The 21,836-nt window shown below is 50.4% G+C and overlaps 1 protein-coding gene across 7 annotated transcripts in view; it reads right to left on the bottom strand.

Moving 5' to 3' along the window:
• The window catches only part of CD99 (CD99 molecule (Xg blood group)), a 50,015-nt gene extending 31,419 nt beyond the window's left edge, over positions 1 to 18,596 (bottom strand). For all 7 annotated transcript variants that reach the window (NR_135623.2, NM_002414.5, NM_001321368.2 and 4 more), the window contains exon 1: positions 18,464 to 18,596. Coding sequence is in view for 6 of the 7 variants with exons in the window: in NM_002414.5 (NP_002405.1) it covers positions 18,464 to 18,530 (67 nt within the window). In the remaining variant the exon portion in view is untranslated. The remainder of the gene's footprint in view (positions 1 to 18,463) is intronic.

Raw genomic sequence — 21,836 nt, 5'->3', positions numbered from 1 at the left:
CAAGCTTCCCCCAACCACCTTCGGGTTTAGGTCCATGCTTCTTGCTGGGCACCTCTGCATTCAACAGCTCTTCATGTGCTCTTTGCAACCAAGCCACATTTTGGATTTTTTCCAATGCAGGGCCTGGGTATACGTGTGCATGTCTATGTACATGCATGTGCGTGTCTATGTACATGCATGTGTGTGTCTATGTTCATGCATGTGCGCGTGTGGATGTGCTCATGTGTACATGTGTATTTCATATACGCGTGCTCATGCATTCATGTGGTTTCTGTGTGTGCACGTGTGTGCTCCTGCACGTATGTGTGGGTGTATGGTGTGGGCACACATGTGCATGCATATATGTATTGCACTGCATGTGTGTGCACACGTGTTTTCATGTGCATTGTGAGTGTGCTGAATGCACACCTGTTTGCATGTGTATATGTGCACAAGTGCACTGCATGAATATATATGTGCATTTGTTCATGTGTCTGCGTGTTTGCCTGTGTGCTTGTGTGCATATGTGTGAGGGTGCTATCTGAGCACACACCTGTGTGCATGCATATATGGGTGTGCATGTGCACTGCAGGAGTATGTGCATGTGCTTGTGTGTTTTCATGTGTGCTCACGTGCACATGTGACTTGCTGTGTGGGTGCACACGTGTGCATGCATGCATATATGCATGGCATGAGTGTGCATGCATGTATGTGCCTGTGTATGTGTGCATGCACATGTGTGTCTGTCTGGTGTGTGTCCATGGCCTGCCACCTCCCCAGCCTAGCTTGCCCCTCCCATCCTCCTCCATCACCCTCAGAGTCCACCAGCCTTTTCCTCCACATGACTTCCCTGGTCATAGCCACTGAGCTGGGACCAGGTGTCACTTAGAAGCTTCCTCCTTTTCTTGCTCCACCTGCCCTCAGAGGCCACAGTGACGATGCTCTGGCTCACTTCATGTTCCTTCCACTGACCCCAATGCCCCCATGGACCCCACACAAACCCAGTTACAGGGGAGGGCACAGGCCCTCCCGCCACCAGTGTCACCCCCAGGCAAGCCTGGATTGCCAACTTCCCCTCTGCTTCAGGACTACGGCTGACGTCACCACTGAGTGTCCAAACCCACTGCTCCCCGGACCCCAAGCTCAGCCGACGGAGGTCCAAGACAACAAGTCTGAGAGTGGGTGGCAAAGGACACAGTATGCCCCTCACGCCCTTCTCCCCTTCTCCCACCCTCTGCCCTTAGCCCTAGTCCTTGGAGAACTCGCCTCAGCCCCGCACTTGGAGCTTGTCTTCCATTCTTATCTCTGTGCTGTTTCTACAGTTTTTAATTGAAACAATTTCAATGTCACTCCAGGATGCCTGAAGGACAAGGACACCAGAGGAGAGACAACCCCAAGCATTCTATCATCGACCTTGGGCCCTCGACCTCAGCTTCCATCGCTCAAGGCTCTGTCAGTCTGTCCCCTGCCTCCAAGGTCTCCTTTCTCCCAGATACAGAGTCCCACCCTCACCATTTTCTCCTCGGGTGACTAACACTTAAGACAGCTCCCCAAACACCACCCCACAGAGAGTAGGGAGGAAAGGGAGGTGACCCGCTCTCGATTTCATATAGACGTGGGCACCCTGAATCACCCATAATCAGACGTTCACTCCCTGGTGGAATCTGGTACTGCAGACACCTCTGAGGCTAATCTTCCAGGTGTGTGAGGGACACAGTTCCCTATGTATGTGAAGGGATGCAGTTCCCCAGGTGTGTGTGAGGGAGGCAGTCCCCCAGGTGTGTGTGAGGAAGGCAGTCCCCCAGGTGTATATAAATGGATGCAAATGCACGTGCTATTGGCTTGAAGCCTCATGGGGAAGCAAACCCAATCAATGATCATCAGTCAGTAAAGGAATCTCTGTAAATGAAGCTATCGTCTCCTAACTCAGTCCACTGCTCTCTTTATTGCCTAGGATTCATCTCCCAATTCATCACATTCCCTGAGCTTTCAGGTGGTAGGCAGGAAATTGCGGGCTCACAGCAGACACCCCCACTTGCCTTTTTGCTCCTGAAAACGACCTCCGGGGCTACAAATGTGAAGAAAACACCAACAAAACCCACCCAGCAAGAGCTGCAACCATGCCCTCAGAGAAGGAGCCTGGTGGAGAACTCAGGTGCCTGTGTTGCACGTTTACGGCATTCAGCCTCTCTGCAAATTTGCAAAGAGACCAGACCCTCAGCAGAACCCCCAACTGCCACTGCTGTTTCCACCCGGCCCTCTCAAAGCTCCAGATGTTTCCGGGACAGGGTAATGGCTCATCAGGGCAAGGCGGAACGGACGACAGATGGCATGAGTCAGTCTGACAAGACACTTTCTACTGATTCAAACCATGTTTACTTTTTCTCATCAGCCAGGCAACTCAAAAAACAGGACGAACCCAGAGTGAAGTCCCCGAGGCCACATGGGGTGTGTGAGTTCCTCTGCAACGTGACTAAGGCTTGCACTAATGCAGGAATGCACTCAACCGGGGCAAACGCAGGAGGAGAGCCAGTACCTGGGTTCTCTTTTTGCTGTTTTTTTCTTTTCTTTTCTTTTCTTTTGAGGCAGAGTTTTGCTCTGTTGCCCAGGCTAGAGTACAGTAGCATGATCTCAACTCACTGCAACCTCCACCTCCTGGGTTCAAGTGATTCTCCTTCCTCAGCTTCCCCAGTAGCTGGGACTATGGGCATGTGCCACCACATCCAGCTAATTCTTGTGTTTTTAGTAGAGATGGAGTTTCGCCATGTTGGCCAGGCTGGTCTCAAACTCCGGGCATCAAGTGATCTGCCTGCCTTGGCCTCCCAAAGTGCAGGGATTACAGATGTGAGCCGCCGCGCCCGAACACTTGGGTTATCTTAAACCCCATCATCACATCATTCAGGTGTTTCACATAAAATTAAAAATGAGCCAGGCGTGGTGGTGCACGCCCGTAGTCCCAGTTACTTGGGAGGCTGAGGCAGGAGAATCGCTTGAACCCGGGAGGTGGAGGTTGCAGTGAGCCGAGATCGCACCACTGCACTCCAGCCTGGGCGACAGAGTGAGACTCTGTCTCGAAATAAATTAATTAATTAATTAAAAAAAATTAGGCAGTTCCAAGATTCCTGTAACTTTCAGATTTTCATAAGAATAACACAATCATTACATAGTAACAGCAGCAGCCAGGGACATCATTTAAGCAGTGCTCTGTGTGTGCCTGCAGCTTTCTCAATAATGCCGTTCATCTCCATTAAGGGTGGGAGGATGAAGACCCGCCACTGGCCTGGGTGTCCCTGCTGAAAAATGTCCAATTCACTCAGCCCCAGCATCACCCCAGGGTGTTCACACCTGCTGCTGGCCACTCCAGTACTCATCTGCTCCTGCTGGTTTTCCACACCCTTTTCCAAAGCCCACTAAACACGAAACTTTCAGGACATTGTAGAAAAGGAGGAGGAGGTGGTGCAGAGGGCACGTGTGTGCTCTTTACTTGCTGCTGAGTCCTCTGATGCCAAGCAAAGGCAAAGCGTTTTTTGTTTTTTGTTTTTTCCTTTTTTTGAGACAGAGTGTCTCTGTGTCACCCAGGCTGGAGTGCGGTGGCCCGATTTTGGCTCACTGCAAGCTATGCCTCCCGGGTTCACACCATTCTGCTGCCTCAGCCTCCCGAGTAGCTGGGACTACAGGTGCCCACCACCACGCCCGGCTGATTTTTTTGTATTTTTAGTAGAGACTGGGTTTCACCGTGGTAGCCAGGATGGTCTCGATCTCCTGAACTCGTGATCCGCCCGCCTCGGCCTCCCAAAGTGCTGGGATGACAGGCGTGAGCCACCGCGCCCGGCTCTTTTTTTTTTTTTCTTTTTAACGTTTTGGAGGTCGAGTGGAACCAGTCACATGGTCTGACCCTAAAAACTTTCATTCCAGGTTTGGGGGGCCTCGGGAAGGGTCCCCAGCCTAGAGATAATTGTAGCTCAGAATGCTGCAAGAGAAAATGCCTCCACATTGGAGCAAGCACCGGAAGTCCTCCTGTGTGGGAATAGCAGGAGGCAGCTGATACATTTCATTTTACTATTTTATTCAAATGGTCAAAACACCCTTACTTTTCTGTTGCTATAAAACCGAATCGCTCTGGAAGTATTGTCCTCTTTTTCAAGATGTGTCATTTAACACCGGGCAGACGATCGGTCACAGGGCACAAAGCGTCCATGAGACAGGACAAATAACTTCAGGAAAGCTCAGAGACACCATGGCGACTGCAATTAGTAACAATGGCTTGAATATTTGAAAACGACTAAAGGAGCCCATTCTGAATAAGTGTTCTCACCACACACAAAAAAGTGCTGCAAAGTCTGTGAGGTCATGCATATTTAAATCCATCTCACCATGGATACATACATCAAGACACCATGTGCAACCGCATAAACACATACAATGTGTATTTGTCAATTAAAAGAAATAAACACATCATTTAAAAAAATCTGGCGCTGAGATCTTACCAAACATATTGTAAAATTACAGAAAAGAGCTTAATAGTGTCATAAATAGTTTCAGGAATACACCAGAGTGTCATAGTCTCAGAAATACTCCAGTGCTGGGTCCAGCTTCCCGTCAGTAACAGGATGTGTGCCAGTGACTGCATATCTGAGTACAGAAAACACAATGTGCCAGATCACAGACAAGTGCAAGGAACTCCGAGTTCACCAAACATCCTACACTTTAGATTTAACCGCTGAGTCCAGCGCAATCTGTTCACCCCATGGAAAGCTATGAACGCAGTGGGTGATAGTGGCCGCCGGGCCCTGGAAACACTCTCTGCTAGCAAACTATGGAAAGGGAAGGGCTTCATGTCTGTAGCAATAGTTAAACTCGTCTCTCTGTCTTCTTAGCTTGAAAATTATACATAGGTGGCCGGGTACAGTGGCTCACGCCTATAATCCCAACACTTTGGGAGGCCAAGGTGGGAGGATTGCTTGAGCCCAGGAGTTCAACAGCAGCCTGGGCAACATGATGAAACCCCGTCTCTACAAAAAATGCAAAAATTAGACAGGTGTTGTGACGCACTCCCATGGTCCCAGCTACTTGGGAGGCTGAGGCGGGAGGATGGCCTGCGCTTGTGGAGGTTGAGATTGCAGGGAGCTGACACTGCACCACGGCACTCCAGCCTGGGCAACAGAGAGAGACCCTGCCTCCAAAAAATAGGCAGGGCATGGTGGCTCACTCCTGTAATCCCAACACTTTGGGAGGTTGAGGCAGGCAGATCACTGAGGTCAGGGGTTCGAGACCAGCCTGGCCAACAAGGCAAAACCCCATCTCTGCTAAATTAGCTGGGCATGGTGGCGTGTACCTGTAGTTCCAGCTACTTGGGAGGCTGAGGCACAAGAATCTCTTGAACTTGGCAGATGGAGGTTGCAGTGAGCCGAGACTGTGCCACTGCACACTAGCCTGGGTGATAGAATGAGACTTTGTCTCAAAAAAAAAGAAAGAAAAGAAAAAAGAAAAAGATTATATGCAGGTGGTTAAACTGCATATACTTCCTTGTCTGCGGTGGCCTAAGGTACAAGGTAACATCTCGGCTTCATCCTAACTAGGACGACGGCACAAGGGTATAGACGTGAAAGAACAAGCTCTTTCCTGTAATTTTACAATATGTTTGGTAAGAAGTGGGAAACTTTCTTTTGTTCGTGTGCCATAACTCTGGGAACGTCCCCTGAGCTACGCCAAGTTTTACAAGAGGCCAAAGAATGGTGTGAATGTTTGGGCTGGGCTGAGCACGCCTCACACCGGCAGTTCTCAGAATCGCCCTGCGAGGGACCTGGGGAGACGTGGAATCCTGGGTCTCACCCCCAGACATTTTCGTTCTGTGGTCTGGGGTGAGGCTCATGAGCCTGCATTTTTAACAAACTCCAGGGTGATGCTGAAGGACCCCGCCTTCAGGAGTTCTGAGGCTCAGACAACAGCAAGGCAGGGCTGCTCGGGGTTCCCTGCTCTCCGTCCCTGTCACCCCTTCCACAGGCAGATGCCAGCCCAGATCCCATCCCTACAGGAAACTGAGTGATCACCCCCCAAGGCTAACGTGGAAACACCGGAAACTGACTTAGGGGCCTCAGCACTTTTTCCAACTTCATCCCAGCCACTCCCCGACTGCTGATCTCCTTTCAAAGTGGTCTCTGCCCTGCAGTTTTGGACTAGCTTGAAATAACCCCTCCGCCGGTCCCAACTATTAGCAGTTCACAGAGCCCTGTGTGTCTCTGTAAAATGATGTGAGGCCAACACACACACACACACACACACACACACACACACACACACACACACTTAACAGCTCGGTTTGTTAATTACAGCTTTGTTATTCAAAGCAGTTACGTTTTATAAAGTCTCAGCGAACACTGAATTAGCGAATAGTGAACTATTGCTCCCACGTAAATACAGGACTACGTTCCCAGAGGTCATGAACCAATCACTACCTAAGCGCGTTTTATGTGGGTTTCTGTTTAAAGACACCGCAGTGAATAGACATTGTGGAGTCACTCACATTGATCTCGAAGCCAACAGCACTATAACTCGTGCCTAAATGACGCTCATCAAATGTGTATTTTCCCCGTGAGACCATGCCAGCTTTCCTGTACTTAGGGACGCTAGGTAGCATGTCAGCACCGACTTGGGGATATTTGAAAGCGCAAAATCACTGACAAAAAGCACGAAAACACAAAACACGGGACACCAAATAGACCTTGCAAAGAACCCTGTTGACAGTACGCGCTGGCCCGAGAAGGCAGGGTCTGGCTTTGTTGAACCTCAGCTGAGAACATGTGCTATTGAGAAGCTCAATTCTGGCCAGGTGTGGTGGCTCACGCCTGTAATCCCAGCATTTTGGGAAGCCCAGGCGGGTGAATCACTTGAGGCCAGGAGTTTGAGAGCAGCCTGGCCAACACGGTGAAACCCCGTCTCTACTAAAAATACAAAAATTAGCCAGGCGTGGTGGCTGTAATCCCATGCCTGTAATCCCAGCTACTCGGGAGGCTGAGGCAGGAGAATCACTTGAACACAGGAGGCGGAGGTTACAGTGAGCCAAGATCACGCCACTGCACTCCAGCCTTGGCGAAAGAGGGAGACTCCATCCAAAAAAAATAAAAAAAAAAAGTTCAATTTTTTTGCCGTTCTGTGCATGAACAAAATAGCCGAGGGTAAGGAGAAGAACATAAAGGGTAACTATTGGGTCCTGGGTTTAATACCACAGTGATGAAATAATCTGTACAACAAAACCTCATGACACATGTTTACCTAAGTCACAAACTTTCACATGTATCCCCGAACCTAAAATGAAAGTTTAAAATAAAAAAATTAAATGCCAGGAATATTGATGTGGGGATGACAAATACATTTTAGTAAGCAGGCAAGTCACAAATACAGAATCACTGAATGATGAAGATTGCGTGTACCTAGGTTAAAACAAGTTAATAACAGTATTTCTCATGGTGTCCAAAATATATCATTGTCTTTCTCAGAAAATTTAAAATCTCTTCCCCTCTGCAGCATCTTGTGAATTTGGTTGTTACACCATGGGACTGATACAGGGGCATCCTGGGGGTGGGGTAGGGGTAGGGGGTCACAGAATTTGGGCCCCTCGTCTGCCTCATTGGATCCTCTACCTGGCCATGAAAGCCCATTCCTTCTTTCTGAACCTGGAAAATGTCTATTCACCCCTCAAGGCCCTGGGAGAATGTCACCTTCTCCAGGAAGCCCTCCGTGATCCTCTCCCTAGCCCACCTGAAGCGCTTTCTCACAAGTATTACCAGAGGTGATCTGTAAGCACATTACAGTTTAAGGAGCACAGCTCCGCACCCCAGTTCTCAACTCCAGCAGCAAATTACACACATCTGTGGGGTTTTCCTAAGTCCTGATGCCCAGGCTAATTAAATCAGAAACTTTCCAAGGTGAGATGCAGGCATCTATATTTTAAAGCCTACCCATGTGATGCAAACGTGTGGTCAACTCTGCAGGCAGGGACCTGTTACAGATTTTAACTTCCTCAATATCTCCTAAAATAGCTTGTGCCTTCTCTTCTATCTCCACTGACTTATCCACGCTCTGCCAAAAATAGCCCCAGCCCCTCCCACCTGTTCTGCATGCTGTTACCCAAAGACGGGCCTTAGGCAGGTTAAGCGTCCCCGCACAGCTGTCTGCGTCAAACCCTTCAGGGGAGCTTAAATCTGCACTCCTCAGCAGTGGCAACAGAGGTTGCCCACCATCTGGCCCCTGCAGCTCCTCTAGTCTGAGATGAACTGCAGCTGCCCCATCATCACTCTTACTGCTTGTCTACCAGGCTGAGAAGAGGCCCTTCCTCTTCCTTACACCTGGTTTCCTCTGCTCATTCTTGGAAGCTCAGTGTCCAGGGAGGGCCCCTCCTGGGAGAACTCTCTCTGACCCCCTGAACAAGTGTAGTCCCTGCTCTGTGCCTCCAGACATCCAGGCCTTCCATCCACAATGGTGCTTTTATGCCCAAATTGATGCCCTGGTTGTTACCTCCAAAGCAGAGAACAAAAAACAGGGACCACAGCAAATAGCACCAATAGTACATTTAACTTCAACCTATGCTGGCTGAAGGAATACATGAAAGAGCCATGGACTGGGAGGGTGGATGGACAGGCAGGTAAGTGGATGGATGGGTGGGTGGGTAAATGGGTGGGTGGATGGATGGATGGATGGATGCATGCGTGGGTGAGTGGATAAATTAGTGAGTGGGTGGATGGTTGGGTGGACAGCTGGGTGGATGGATGGGTAGTTGGATGGGATGAGTGGAAAGATGGGCAGTAAGGGGATGGATGGAGGTAAGGGTGGATAGGTGGATGGATGGTTGAGTGGATAGATGAGTTTAGGTGGGTGAGTAGGTAGGTGGATGGATGGATGAATGCATGGATAAGTGGATGGATGGGTAGTTAAGTGGATGAGTGGGTGGGTAGACGGATGGAGGTATGGATGGATGGTTGGGTGGATGGATGGTTGGGTGGGTGGATGGATGGGTGGGTGGGTGAGTAGGTGGATGGATGGATAGATGAATGGATGGATGGATGAACAGATAGGTGGATGGATGGACAGATGGATAGATGAATGGGTGAACGGATAAATGGATGGATGGTAGATGGGTAAATTGATGAAAGGATGGGTGAATGGATGGATAGATGAGTGGATGGTGGACAGATGGATGTATCAATTGATGAGTGGCTGGATGAACTAAAAGGATGGATGCATGGATGATGCATGGATGGAAAGATGAATGGAGAATGGATGGATGGATGGACAGGTGCATTAACGGATGGATAAAGGAATGGGACGACGGATGGATGGATGGATGGATGGATAAATGGATGGATGGATGCACGCATGGATGGATGGATGCATGGATGAATGGATGGATGGGTAAATGAATGGGAGGATGGGTTGATGGATGGATGGATGGACGAACGGATGGATGGGTAAATGAATGGGAGGATGGGTTGATGGATGGATGGATAAAAGGAGGATGCATGGCTGGATGGATGCATGGATGCATAAATGGATGGATAAATGGATGGAAGGACACATGGATACCTAGAACACGGAGACCCTGAGGAGCTGGAGAGGCCTCAGTGACTGGTCTAAGTTCACCACCAGGATTCAAGGGAGTTCTCTTCCATATCAAAATGCCCATCACTGATTCAGGACATTCTCCTCCCCTTCAAGTCACACTAGTGGTGAAGGCAGGCATCCCTCAAGGTCCACAAGGCCGTGCCTGGGGAGCTCTGTTCAGCCCACACACGCAGCCACCAACTCCCAAGCCCAGCAACCCCTGTGCCCACGTCTCACCACCAACAGAACTCATGTCCACATGCATTTTTCCCCATGCTGACCATGTGATCACCAGCAAGCTCCTGAACTCTCTGACCCCAGTGTCTTTATCTACAAAAGGCCCATGAGAAATATCTTAAGGGCTCGCTGAAGATGAAATAACAAACTGAATGCTCTTTGAAAAATGTAATCCATGGCATAGACATTCACATCCGAGAGGCGGTCATGGGAAATCTCATGTAGGAGGGAAGAAACAGAATATCTAGTAAAATAACAATGATTCTTGACAACTCAGCCACACATGAAGACCCTCCGAGGGGCTTTTTAAAAATTCCTAATAGCGGGATGCAGTGGCTCCCGCCTATAAACCCAAGACTTTGCCAGGCCAAGGCAGGTGGATGGCTTGAACTCAGGAGTTCAGGACTAAACTGGGCAACATAGGGAGACCCTGTCTCTACAAAAAATGAAAAATTTGGCTGGGCGTGCCAGCTCACGCCTGAGGGAGGCTGAGGCAGAAGAATCACTTGAACCTGGGTGGCAGAGGTTGCAGCGAGCCAAGATTGCATCGCTGCACTCCAGCCTGGTGACAGAGTGAGACTCTGTAATTTAAAAAAAAAAAAAAAAAAAAGGCTGGGCGCGGTGGCTCACACCTGTAATCCCAGCACTTTGGGAAGCCGAGGTGGGCAGATCACGACGTCAGGAGTTCGAGACCATCCTGGCCAACATAGTGAAATCCCGTCTCTACTAAAAATACAAAAATTAGCCAGGCGTGGTGGTGCGTGCCTGTAGTTCCAGCTACTCAGGAGGCTGAGGCAAGAGAGGCACTTGAACCAGGGAGGCGGAAGTTGCAGTGAGCCAAGATTGCACCAAGGCACTCCAGCCTGGGCAACACAGCAAGACTCTGTCTAAAAAAAAGAAGAAGAAGAAAGAAAAGAGAGAAGAGAAAACAAAAGAAAAGAAAAGAAGAGGAAAGAAAAGAAAAAAACAAAAAGAAAGAAAAGATTAGCTGGGTATGGTGAGGTGCACCTGTGGTCCCAGCTTCTTTCGAGGCTGAGGTAGGTGGGCTGCTTGAACCCAGGAGGTTGAGGCTGCAGTGAGCTATGACTGTACCACTGCACTCCAGCCTGGGTGACAGAGCAAAATCTTGTCTCAAAAAAAAAAAAAAATTAAAACACCTAACACGTCTATAAACCAGACTACCCAGGTAACCCTGGGCAAGAGTGACGTTTCCAAGCTTCCCGCAATGGGGCCAAAGCTGAGAACCTCGGATCTAGGTCAGCAAGAGCTACTGGAGGGTGGTCAAGCAGGTTTGTGTCTGAAACCATCACTCAGAAATCAGGAATGCAGGAGGGATGGGCATCACAGTTACTGGTGTGTTTTTAGCCTGGACTCTGTAGGATTAAAATATGTCCACCAGCCTGGGCGACAGAACAAAACTCTGTATCTACAAAAAAGGTAAAAATTAATTGAGTGTGGTGGCATGTGCCCATAGTCCCAACTACACAGAAGGCTAAGGTGGGCAGGTCACCTGAGCCTGGGGGTTCGAGGCTGCAGTGAGCTGAGATCACACCACTGCACTTCAGCCTGGGCGACAGAGTGAGATCCTGTCTCAAAAAAAATGATTGCAGGCTGAGCATGGTGGCTCACGCCTGTAACCCCAGCACTTTGGGAAGCTGAGGCGAGAGGTTTGCTTGAGCCCAGGAGTTCAAGACCAGCCTGGGCAATGTAGTCAGACTCCGATTCTACAAAAAGATTTTAAAAATTAGCTGAGGGTGGCACATGCCTGTGGTCCCAGCTCCTTGGAAGGCTGAGGTGAGAGATTCACCTGCACCCAGGAGGTCAAGACTGCAGTGAGCTACAATCGTGCCACTGCACTCCGGCCTGGGCAAGTCTAAAAAAAAAAAAAAAAAGAAACAAAGAAAAAAAAAGATTGCAAGCCACTGCCCGGTGATATGTTTATGATATGATGAGTGTCTAGGGGCTTGTGGTTTAAGAGTAGAAACCGCTTCCCATAGGTGGCTGTAGCTGTCCATCTTGTCTGTCTATCGGATGCTATGTTAGTCCCAAAGGACCACAGCCTCTTGAGTAAAGACCTCAACACAGGGGGCCTCTACCTTCATTGCCACCTCGGCACGGTCTCAAAAGACAGATGTTCATATCCATCTCCTGCTTGCCCAGATCCAAATCCCTCCCTGTCCTGCTATTCTATGAGTCTGCACTAAATGCCTAACACTTCTCTCCGAGTGTTCAATTGCTGAGAACATTTTGTGCTGAATTCATCGAAGACAGCCCTGTGTTAATTCATATTTAGAACCCAACCCATTTCCCCCAGAAGAAGACAGCTAGCAACAGCAGCAGAAGAGGCCGACTGGCAATATTTGGGTTCTGGCAGTAGTTATAAAATCTCTATGCCTCCAAGTCCATTGGCCCTAAAAGACAATGCAGTGTGTTTATTCTTGTCATCATTCCAGTCCATCGTGTTCCAGTCCATCGTGCAGAAACGAAAGCTCCTTCTGGTCAGCATCCCCTCGTGGATCAATGCTTGCCAGGGTGCATTTGGACAATAATTTTGCAGGGTCAGGCAAAGCAGAAACAAACAAGAGTCAGGCTACCTGGGCAAACTCAGGTGTCGCTGATGAGTAATGCCTGCAGAACCCTCTGGCCAGTCTGCTGCCTCCTCAAGAAGGGCTGTTAGCTCAACCAGATACACTATTATCAGCTTTTAAACAGCGCTTTGGAGCAACAGCTTTACTCCCCGAAAAGATGCAGAAAATCAGACTCTTTCAGGTGATTCTCAAAAACAGGGGACCCACCCCAGCCCACGACACCATTCAAAGTTGAGAAAGCAAAGTGAATTAAAGGGGTTTGCAACCGCTTTCAGACTCATCCAGCTGCCGTCCACAATGACAAACATATATTATATCTCAGCCCAGCCCACCGGGACAGAGGGAGCGGAACAAAAGCTTTGCCCATGCGGCTTCTTTAGCAAGGCTTTCCATGTACCCTGTGGGCATTTTCTCCTCTCCTCTGTTGAATTTTCTTCTTTGCAAGGTGGGTGGCTGCAAGCTACTTTCACAGCCCACTTGAGAAACACTGGTTTGAATCTGACTCTGGGGGAGAAGAAAGGAAGTTTCTGGTTTCCTGCTAAGCGGAAACTTTAATACTATGACTAGGAGACCGTACAAGGCATGGTGGCAACCCTGAGTCATACTAAAACAAAGCCGAAAAACACACCCATGCACCATCTCCTCAAAACTCACCAAGGAACCAAGCCAAGAAAGAATACTGAACAGGAAATTCAAGAAGAGGAAGTCCTTCTGGTCTCTAGAGATGTGAAAAGATACCGTCAGTTGGACAAATGGGAGTAGAAATGCTGGTGAGCTACCATGTTTCAGCCAAGAGACTGGGAATAAATCAAAAAAGAATACACTTTAGGAGGCCGAGGCGGGCGGATCACCTGAGGTCAGGAGTTCGAAACCAGCCTGGCCAAGATGGTGAAACTCCACCTCTACTAAAAAAATACAAAAATTAGCCAGGTGTGGTGGCGGGCACCTGTAATCCCAGGTACTCAGGAGGCTGAGACAGGAGAATTGCTTGAACCTGGGAGGCAGAGGTTGCAGTGAGCCGAGATCGCACCATCGCACTCCAGCCTGGGGAAAAAGAGCGAGACTTCATCTCAAAATAAAAAGAAAAGAAAAGAAAGAATATCAGCAAATCCTCAAGCCCTGGACAGCCTGCAGCCTGCAGCTACACCAGCAACGATGAGCCCACATTCACAAGCAATCCGAACCCCACCTCCCCAACTGGGAGAACAGAGGTGAAGCACGGAAGACAGCAGAAAATCCACATGGGCCTGGGACATGGAACACAGGACTCAGAATGAACAAGCTTCAATAACCAGCCTTTCTCTGCCATTTTGTTGCTGCCCCTGAAGACTCAAAGTCCTTTGTCTTTCTCTGCCAATTCTCTAAAAATGGACTGTTCTTTGTTGAGGGTACTAGAGCAGCTAGAATCCAAGCCACTTCCTTGAAAACTACCCATTTCTAGGTATCTCTCATGTATCAATGAAAAACGCATGTTAATAAAGTTTGGTTTGTTTTTCCCTGTCTTTGGTTAGAGGAGTCACTTCCAAATAAGAATGTAGGACAGTTGATTTTTACAATGATTTTTCAGGTGGCTCACACCTGTAATCCCAGCACTTTGGGAGGCCAAGGTGGGCAGATCACTTGAGGCCAGGAGTTTGAGGCCAGCCTGTCCAACAGGGTGAAACACCGTCTCTACTAAAAATACAAAAAATAGCCAGGTGTGGTGACATGTGCCTGTATTCCCAGCTATTCAGGTGTCTGAGGCAGGAGAATTGCCTGAGCCCGGGAGACACAGGTCGCAGTGAGCCAAGATCCTGCCATTGCACTCCAGCCTGGGTGACACAGTGAGACACTGTCTCAAAAAAAAAAAAAAGACTTTTTTTTCAGTCTGGGCAACATAGCAAGACCCTGTCTCTACAAAAAAATTTAAAAGTGGCCAGGCACAGTGGTGTGTGCTTGTAGTCCCAGCTACTACAGAGGCTGAGGTGGAAGGATTGCTTGAGCCCAGGAGGTGGAGGCTGTAGTGAGCCCTGATTGCACCCCTGCACTCCAGTCTGGGCAACAGAGACCCCACCTCAAAAAAATATTTTTCAGCCTGGTCAACATAGTGAAACCCCTTCTCTACTAAACATACAAAAATTAGCCAGATATGCAGTGCATGCCTGTAGTCCCAGCTAATTGGGAGGCTGAGGCAGGAGAACTGCTTGAACCTGAGATGGAGAGATTGCCATGAGCTGAGATCGTGCCACTTCACTCCAGCCTGGACAACAGAGGAAAATTCCATCTCAAAAAAAAAAGACTTTTCCTCCTTCGCACCCCGAGAGACACACAGGTCTTATTTCTTACTGTGTCTATAAATCACAAAGGACACGTAATTCTTTTCCCCTAAAGTAACAAGAGTGCTCAGAACATTTTCAGCAGGACTGAAAACCAGCACAAGGTCCACGTGGCTACTGAGAAGTCTATTTCCCCGGGGGAAGATATCTGAGTCCGAAAACATTCCAGACAGTATCCATGAAATCCCGCCATGATTCCTAAATGCTGAATTGGGAAAAGTATTGTATGAGCTGCATTTCTTTCTAAATGACAGCATGTACCCACCATAGGACCTTCAGGAAGAAAAATGATTTCCAGACAAACAATCATTTACTTGAGTATCTCCAAAGTGTAAAGACATGTATTTGTCTTTACATGAAAACTCTGTCTCATACACAGAGAAAGGAGAAAGAGCTAAAGCAGGAAGTTTTTTTTTTTCTTTGAGACTGAGTCTCTCTCTGTTACCCAGGCCATAATGCGGTGACACGATCTCAGCTCACTGCAACCTCTGCTTCCCGGGCTGAAGTGATTTTCCTGCCTCAGCCTCCTGAGTAGCTGGGATTATAGGCGCTCACCACCACGCCCGGCTAATTTTTGTATTTTTAGTAGAGTCGGGGTTTTGCCATGTTGGCCAGGCTGGTCTCGAACTCTTGGCCTCATGTGACCCACCGGCCCTCGGCCTCTCAAAGTGCTGGGATTTACAGGCCTGAGTCACCGTGCTCGGCCTAAAGTAGGGAGTTAAATGCAAAGCAATCAACTTTTACCAGAGCCAAACGCGCTGATGGAAAATCAAGGCAAACTCGCTGGATGATAAAACCCACTTCCTCTGCCCAGAAACATTCTCCTAATAACTTCCACACACACCCACAGGGGCAGGAGACAAGAGCTCTGGAGAGAGTTAAAAAAAAAAAAAAACAACGAAGCCCACACTTGCTCTACTGGGGCGAGGGAATCCTGAAGAGGCCTGGTATTGTTCAAGAGATGTCGGTTCCGTAGATGTTTGGAGTTTTTCAAACCGCACAGGCCGCTGTGCCGTTGCCCCGGGGGGTGGGGCAAATCAGCCTTTGCCAGAGAGCAGGGATGCATCGGATGTGTGCGACTCTACTGTCGGGACGGCAGGCTCCTAACTGCAGGGGCAGCCCTGAATCAGCGCATACATGCAACTCCCAAGCCCTCCTCAGGGTTTTCCACCCTCAACACCACTGGCATTTGGGACCAGATGAATTCTTTGTGCTGGAGGCCGTCCTGGCCCTTGAAAGATTCTGAGCAGCTTCCCTAAGCTGCCCCACCCATTGCAGGATGGTGGGATGTCCCACCCCAGGGTGGCAACCAAAAATGTCTGCAACCATCACAAAGTGTCTCCTCGGGGCCAACGTCGCCCTGTGGGGACATCCTGCTCTCTACAAAGCTGAAGCCTCCTCTTTTCCTCTATACACCTCCCTCTGTCCATCCATCCCTCACCACATCCCACCTGTACCCCTGAGAATTTATGAAGGAACCAAGGAACACAGGGTCCCCAACACTCTGAGATCAGGCCAGAGCTATCAGCACCAGTCTGAGAACCTACTTCAGGCTCAACGGGGTTTTGCAGCCTGATGCACGTTGCTATAAGAAAGTGTGTTCTGAGCATCACCAACTCAAAAGTCAACTTTCCCGATGAAACGTGTATTAATATTATTGGGACAGGCTGTTTCTGTCTCCATCTCTAGCAGGGTCAGACTGCAAAGAAGGGGTGAGAAGCGTCCCTCAAGGAGATCCATCAGTGCTGACGGCCAGGCCCTCCTCTGCAATTGGAAGGATAGGTTGGCCCCTGTTATGCCCCTATCCCACTGCTCTTCCCTACCCACCCACCCCATAGACAGGTACTCTTCCCTTTACTCAAAGCATCAGCAGCTGGAGTTCCTAAGCCCAGTCTGCTTCCAAAATCAGGAGTTCCAGATGAACACTGCTGTGGGTTTAAAAACTGTGCAACGCCAATGAGCCGACATCGTGCCACTACACTCCAGACTGGTGACAGAGTGAAACTCCGTCCAAAAAAAAAAAACCACCACCACCAACAAAAACAAAAAAACTGTGCAACGACTTGTTTGGGGCTTAGAGAATATAAGGCTTTCCACTCACTCTGCTCCAATGACCTGGAACGCCAGACCAGCCGGCAAATCTGTCCCTAGGGCTTCAAAATCCAGCCAAGCCCCTCACCAAGATTTACCACTGGGAACCCCTGAGTTATTTCGTGATGGAACTATAAAGGTCCCTGTGGCCCTGTCTCCCGTCTGCCTGTTCAGATGCCTCTGTTCTCCAGGAAACTGAATTCTTAGGCCACCAGCACTCCCTTGGATATATTTCCCTGACCCCAAGCCCACAGTAGGTGCAAAAGAAGGAAGGCAGGCATGAAGGATGAAGGAATGCATTCGCAGAGAGACAAGTGAAAAACCCGTTCATCTGCAGGTGCCTGGGGAACAAATGCAGCTGATAAAACCCTACAGAGCCATCCCGTCCGTGGTGACAGGTTGCCCGCAAGAAGGACATTTAGGAAGAAAAGGGAGAAACAGGAAGCTCTGCTTGGAACCTCCCCTGCAGGCTGGAAAGTCCTCCAAGTTTTCCTCTACGGAGCAGGCTTCATTATCTCTAATCTCTACCAAGTGAAAGCACAATTTCTAGGATACCCGGGACCCCTTTAAAGAGGGTGTAAATCCATTAGCAACTCCTCCCTAAAAATAGAGACCCGGCCTAGTCACCGCAGCTCTAGGCTGAGCTAGATCCTATCAACACAAATCGGGCCTCCTCCGTCCTCCCCAGGGCCGGGCGTTCCCGCGTCTCCTTCCTAAATACGTCCAGCCCTGATAAGGCCCGTCCTGAAGTCCACACTGCCCGCAAGCCGGTCTACTTAAAAGCCTGCCCATACGAAGAGCAAAAAATGCACTGACCATTGAAAAAAGAATTTATAACATGAAAAAAGAATTTATAACATACCACATCCGGCAGGGTCTCCGTTTCCGTTTCAAAGGGAGGGAAACAGAAAAACATGATTAAAGTAATAATTAGAAATAGGCCCGGTTTAGGGCGTGGGAGGGTGACCGTGGCTCTTTCTTCCCTGCCCACTTTTTCTGTTTTCCGAATTCTCCACCGCCGCAGATGGACAATTTGGTAAGCACACGTTTCTTTCTGCGCCCCGTGTTGCTTGGCGCACAGCACGCGCTGAAATTCCCGGAGCCCGCATCCACAGAGTATTTTTGAACATTTTCAGGGCTCAAAGTTTTTTTCTAACTTTTCCTTCCCTTCCCCCCACCACCCGGGTCTCAGGCTCCTAGCGATTCCAAATTTAGGCCCGGGACGCAGGGCGTGGCTGTGACAGGCAACTCCAGGGCGGCCTCCGCGCGCGGCCTGAAGACGCAGGTCCCCAAACCCTGGGGGTAGATAACGGGGTGGGGTGAGGGGCTCATGCAAAGGGAGAGAGATCTGTAAGAAGGTCCCCTAGATTGGGAAAAATCGGACGCACCTCTCCCAAGGCCGCCCCACATGTAAGAGTTTGCAACTCCGACAACAAACGCTGACTTTTCTCTCTGGAACGGCTCCAGGAAAAGCGTTGGGGAGAAAGTGGGCGCCTCCTCCGGGCCTGGGCCCCCGTGGGCACAGCGCGTCCTGCCGGGCAGGGAGGAGGCTCCGGGTGTCCCCGCGGGGCGCCCCCAACGCCGCATCTCAAGCGGATCCCCAGTCCCGGCCCGCGCCCTCCGCGTCCCCCAACCCGGATCCCTCCGCTCGCTCACCCGGGGCGGCGACCAGAACACCCAGCAGGCCGAAGAGCAGCAGCGCCAGCGCAGCCCCGCGGGCCATGGTGCGCCCAGAGCGCGCAGGGACGGTCCCGGAGTGCAGGGCGTGGGCGAAGGCGGCAGGACAGATACTCCCCCACGGGCCGGGTGGGGCGAAGCCCGGGGACTCGAAGGGGGCGGGTGAGGGGAGCGGCCCTGCAAGCTCAGCGCCGGCTGCGCCCGCCCCGCCCCGGCCTCCACGCGCGCACAGAAGGGGCGGGAACGCCGGGCCCGGGGAGGAGACAGAGGGGGTAGGCGGGCGGGGGTGGCCCAGGCAGCGCCGAGGGGAGTACGGTACACGCCCCGCCCCTTCTCAGGAAACTGCCCACGCCCCCTCACCCACCCACAGGGCCGTAGCCAGGGCGGCGCCGACCCGAAGCAAAGTGAACTACAACGTTCTCGGGAAAGTGCGGGTCCCTCCCGGTTTACAGCCCTCTGAATGCACGCCCGAGGGCGGCCCTTAACTGTAGTGGCACAAAACTGCCGCCCTTCTTGGAAACATAGAGCCCCCTCTCCCCACTCGCCCCTGCAGCCACTTCTCCGCCCCTCACCCCCTGGTCTCCAGTGGGAGCAAAAAAACAAACTTTCCCAGCAGCTCCCCTGCTCGGGAAAGTGCGGGTCCCTCCCTGTCTACAGCCTCCTAAATGCACGCCTGCAACTGTAGCGACACGAAACTGCCGCCCTTCTTGGAAACGTGTAGCCCCCCTCCCCACTCGCCCCTGCAGCCCCTTCTCCGCCCCTAGCAGGGACCCTCCCCTGCTCTGCAGTGGGAGCAGAGGAAACTCCCGGCTCCCCTGCTGGGAAAAGTATGGGGGCCCCTCCCCGCTGCTCACCTCAGGGAGTTCCCCAAGGGGAGCAAAGTGCAATCCTCTCCCTGCTCAGGAAGCCTAGGCCCCCGCTCCACAGGCAACCCCCGTCCCAAGTCCTTTCTAGAGCGTCCGAGCGCGGGGTGCGCAGCCGGGAGGGTGGCGGACGAACCCTTTGCGCCGGACCAAGGACAACCCTTGGAGTAGCCTCTGCGCTGGGGCAGTTTCTCCCCAGAATCCCCAGGACAAGGTTGGGAGTGGGGACTCCTGGTCACGGGAGTTAGTGAGGGGCAATAGGGAACGAGGTGCCTTCTATCTGGGGCACCTGGGCCCTAGTCCTGGTCATGGGCGACTCGCCTTCCAGTGGGCTTTGAGTTTAGACACCCTCCCGCGCCACTGGCCACAGCTGCAGTGCAGTTGTCGCCCTTCCCACACTTAACAATGTTATCTGTTAACACCTAAGCCTAAAATTGTATCCATTTTCCCGCAGGGTAGTGGAACAACTTTGCAGCCTGACAAATAACCCTGAATATTCTTGCATTCCACACTTCAAACTGTCCACGAAAAGAGTCAAACTAGGCCGGGCGCGGTGGCTCACGCCTGGAATCCCAGCGCTTTGGGAGACCGAGGCGGGTGGATCACCTGAGGTCAGGAATTGGAGACCAGCCTGACCAACAAGGTGAAACCCTGTCTCTTCTAAAATACAAAATTAGACGCGTGTGGTGGTGTGCACCTGTAGTCCCAGCTACTCAGGAGGCCGAGGCAAGAGAATCGCTTGAACCGGGGAGATGGAGGTTGCAGTGAGCCAAGATCAGGCCACTGCACTCCAGCCTGGGTGACAGAGCGAGACTCCGTCTCAAAAAAAAAGAAAGAAAAAAGAAAAAAAGAGAAAGGAGTCCAACTCTAACATATTTGAAGAGATTTATTCTGAGCCAAATATGAGTGACCATGGCCCATGACACAGCCCTCAGGAGGTCCCGAGAACGTGTCCTCAAGGTGGTCGGGGTGCAGCTTGGTGTTATACGTTTTAGGGAGGCATGAGACATCAATGAAATTTAAGAGACACATTGGTTTTGTCCAGAAAGGCGGGACAACCCAAAGCAGGAGGCTTCCAGCTTATAGGTAGATTTTAGAATTTTCTGATTGGCAATTGCTTGGGTTTCTTTAAAGTCCTGGGATCAATAGAAAAGAATGTCTGGGTTAAGATAAAGAATTGTGAAGACTCAAGTTCTTATTTGAACAGGAACCCTTCCGGTGCTAGGGTCAGAGAGAAGAGGTTGTAAAATGTTTCTTCTCAAACTTAAAGGCTGTGTGGATGTTAACGCCGGAGAGGCACCGGGAGGCATGTTCAACCCCTGCTTCCCGTCACGGCTTGAAACACTCTCTCAGGTTAAATTTTTAAAGAGCTCTGGCTGAGGAAGAAGTCCATTCAGATGTTTTGAAGGTGGGGGGCGGTGGGGGCTTAGAATTTTATTTTATTTTATTAATTTATTTAGTTTTTGAGACGGAGTCTTACTCTCTCGGCCAGGCTAGAGTGCTGTGGCACCATCTCAACTAACTGCAACCTCCACCTCCCAGGTTCAAACGATTCTCCTGCCTCAGCCTCCTGAGTAGCTGGGATTACAGGCACCTGCTACCACGCCTGGCTAATTTTTATATTTTTAGTAGAGATGGGGTTTCGCCATGTTGGCCAGGCTAGTCTGGAACTCCTGACCTCAAGTGATCCACCCACTCCAGCCTCTTAAAGAATTTTATTTTTGGTTTACAAAGCCCTGCCTCATCTATTGGCCCATTCCTGGGCTGGCATACTTGCTGCCCAGCCGACTGAGTCAGGGGCTCTGAGATAACACCTGTCTTTTTATTATTGTTATTATTATACTTTAAGTTCTGGGGTACAGGCTGGGCGCGGTGGCTCACGCCTGTAATCCCAGCACTTTGGAAGGCCGAGGCAGGTGGATCACGAGGTCAGGAGATTGAGACCATCCTGGCTAACATGGTGAAACCCCATCTCTACTAAAAATACAAAAAAAAATTAGCCGGGCGTGGTGGCGGGCGCCTGTAGTCCCAGCTACTCAGGAGACTGAGGCAGAAGAATGGCGTGAACCCGGGAGGCAGAGCTTGCAGTGAGCCGAGATCGTGGCACTGCACTCCAGCCTGGGCGACTGAGCAAGACTCCGTCTCAAAAAAAAAAAAAAAAAGTTCTGGGGTACATGTGCAGAACGTGCAGTTTTGTTACATAGGTATACACACGCCATAGTGGTTTGCTGCACCCATCAACCCATCATCTACATTAGGTATTTCTCCTAATGCTCTCTCTCCCATTGCACCCCACCCCCCAACAGGCCCTGGTGTGTGATGTTCCCCTCCCTGTGTCCATGTGTTCTCATTGTTCAACTCCCACTTATAAGTGAGAACATGCGGTGTTTGGTTTTCTGTTCCTGTGATAGTTTGCTGAGAATGATGGTTTCCAGCTTCATCCGTGTCCCTGCAAAGGACATGAACTCATCCTTTTTTATGGCTGCGTA

This window comes from Homo sapiens, chromosome X (assembly GCF_000001405.40).
Source record: "Homo sapiens chromosome X, GRCh38.p14 Primary Assembly".
NCBI classification, from domain to species: Eukaryota; Metazoa; Chordata; class Mammalia; order Primates; family Hominidae; genus Homo; species Homo sapiens.
This window is presented reverse-complemented; position numbering and strand designations above follow the sequence as displayed.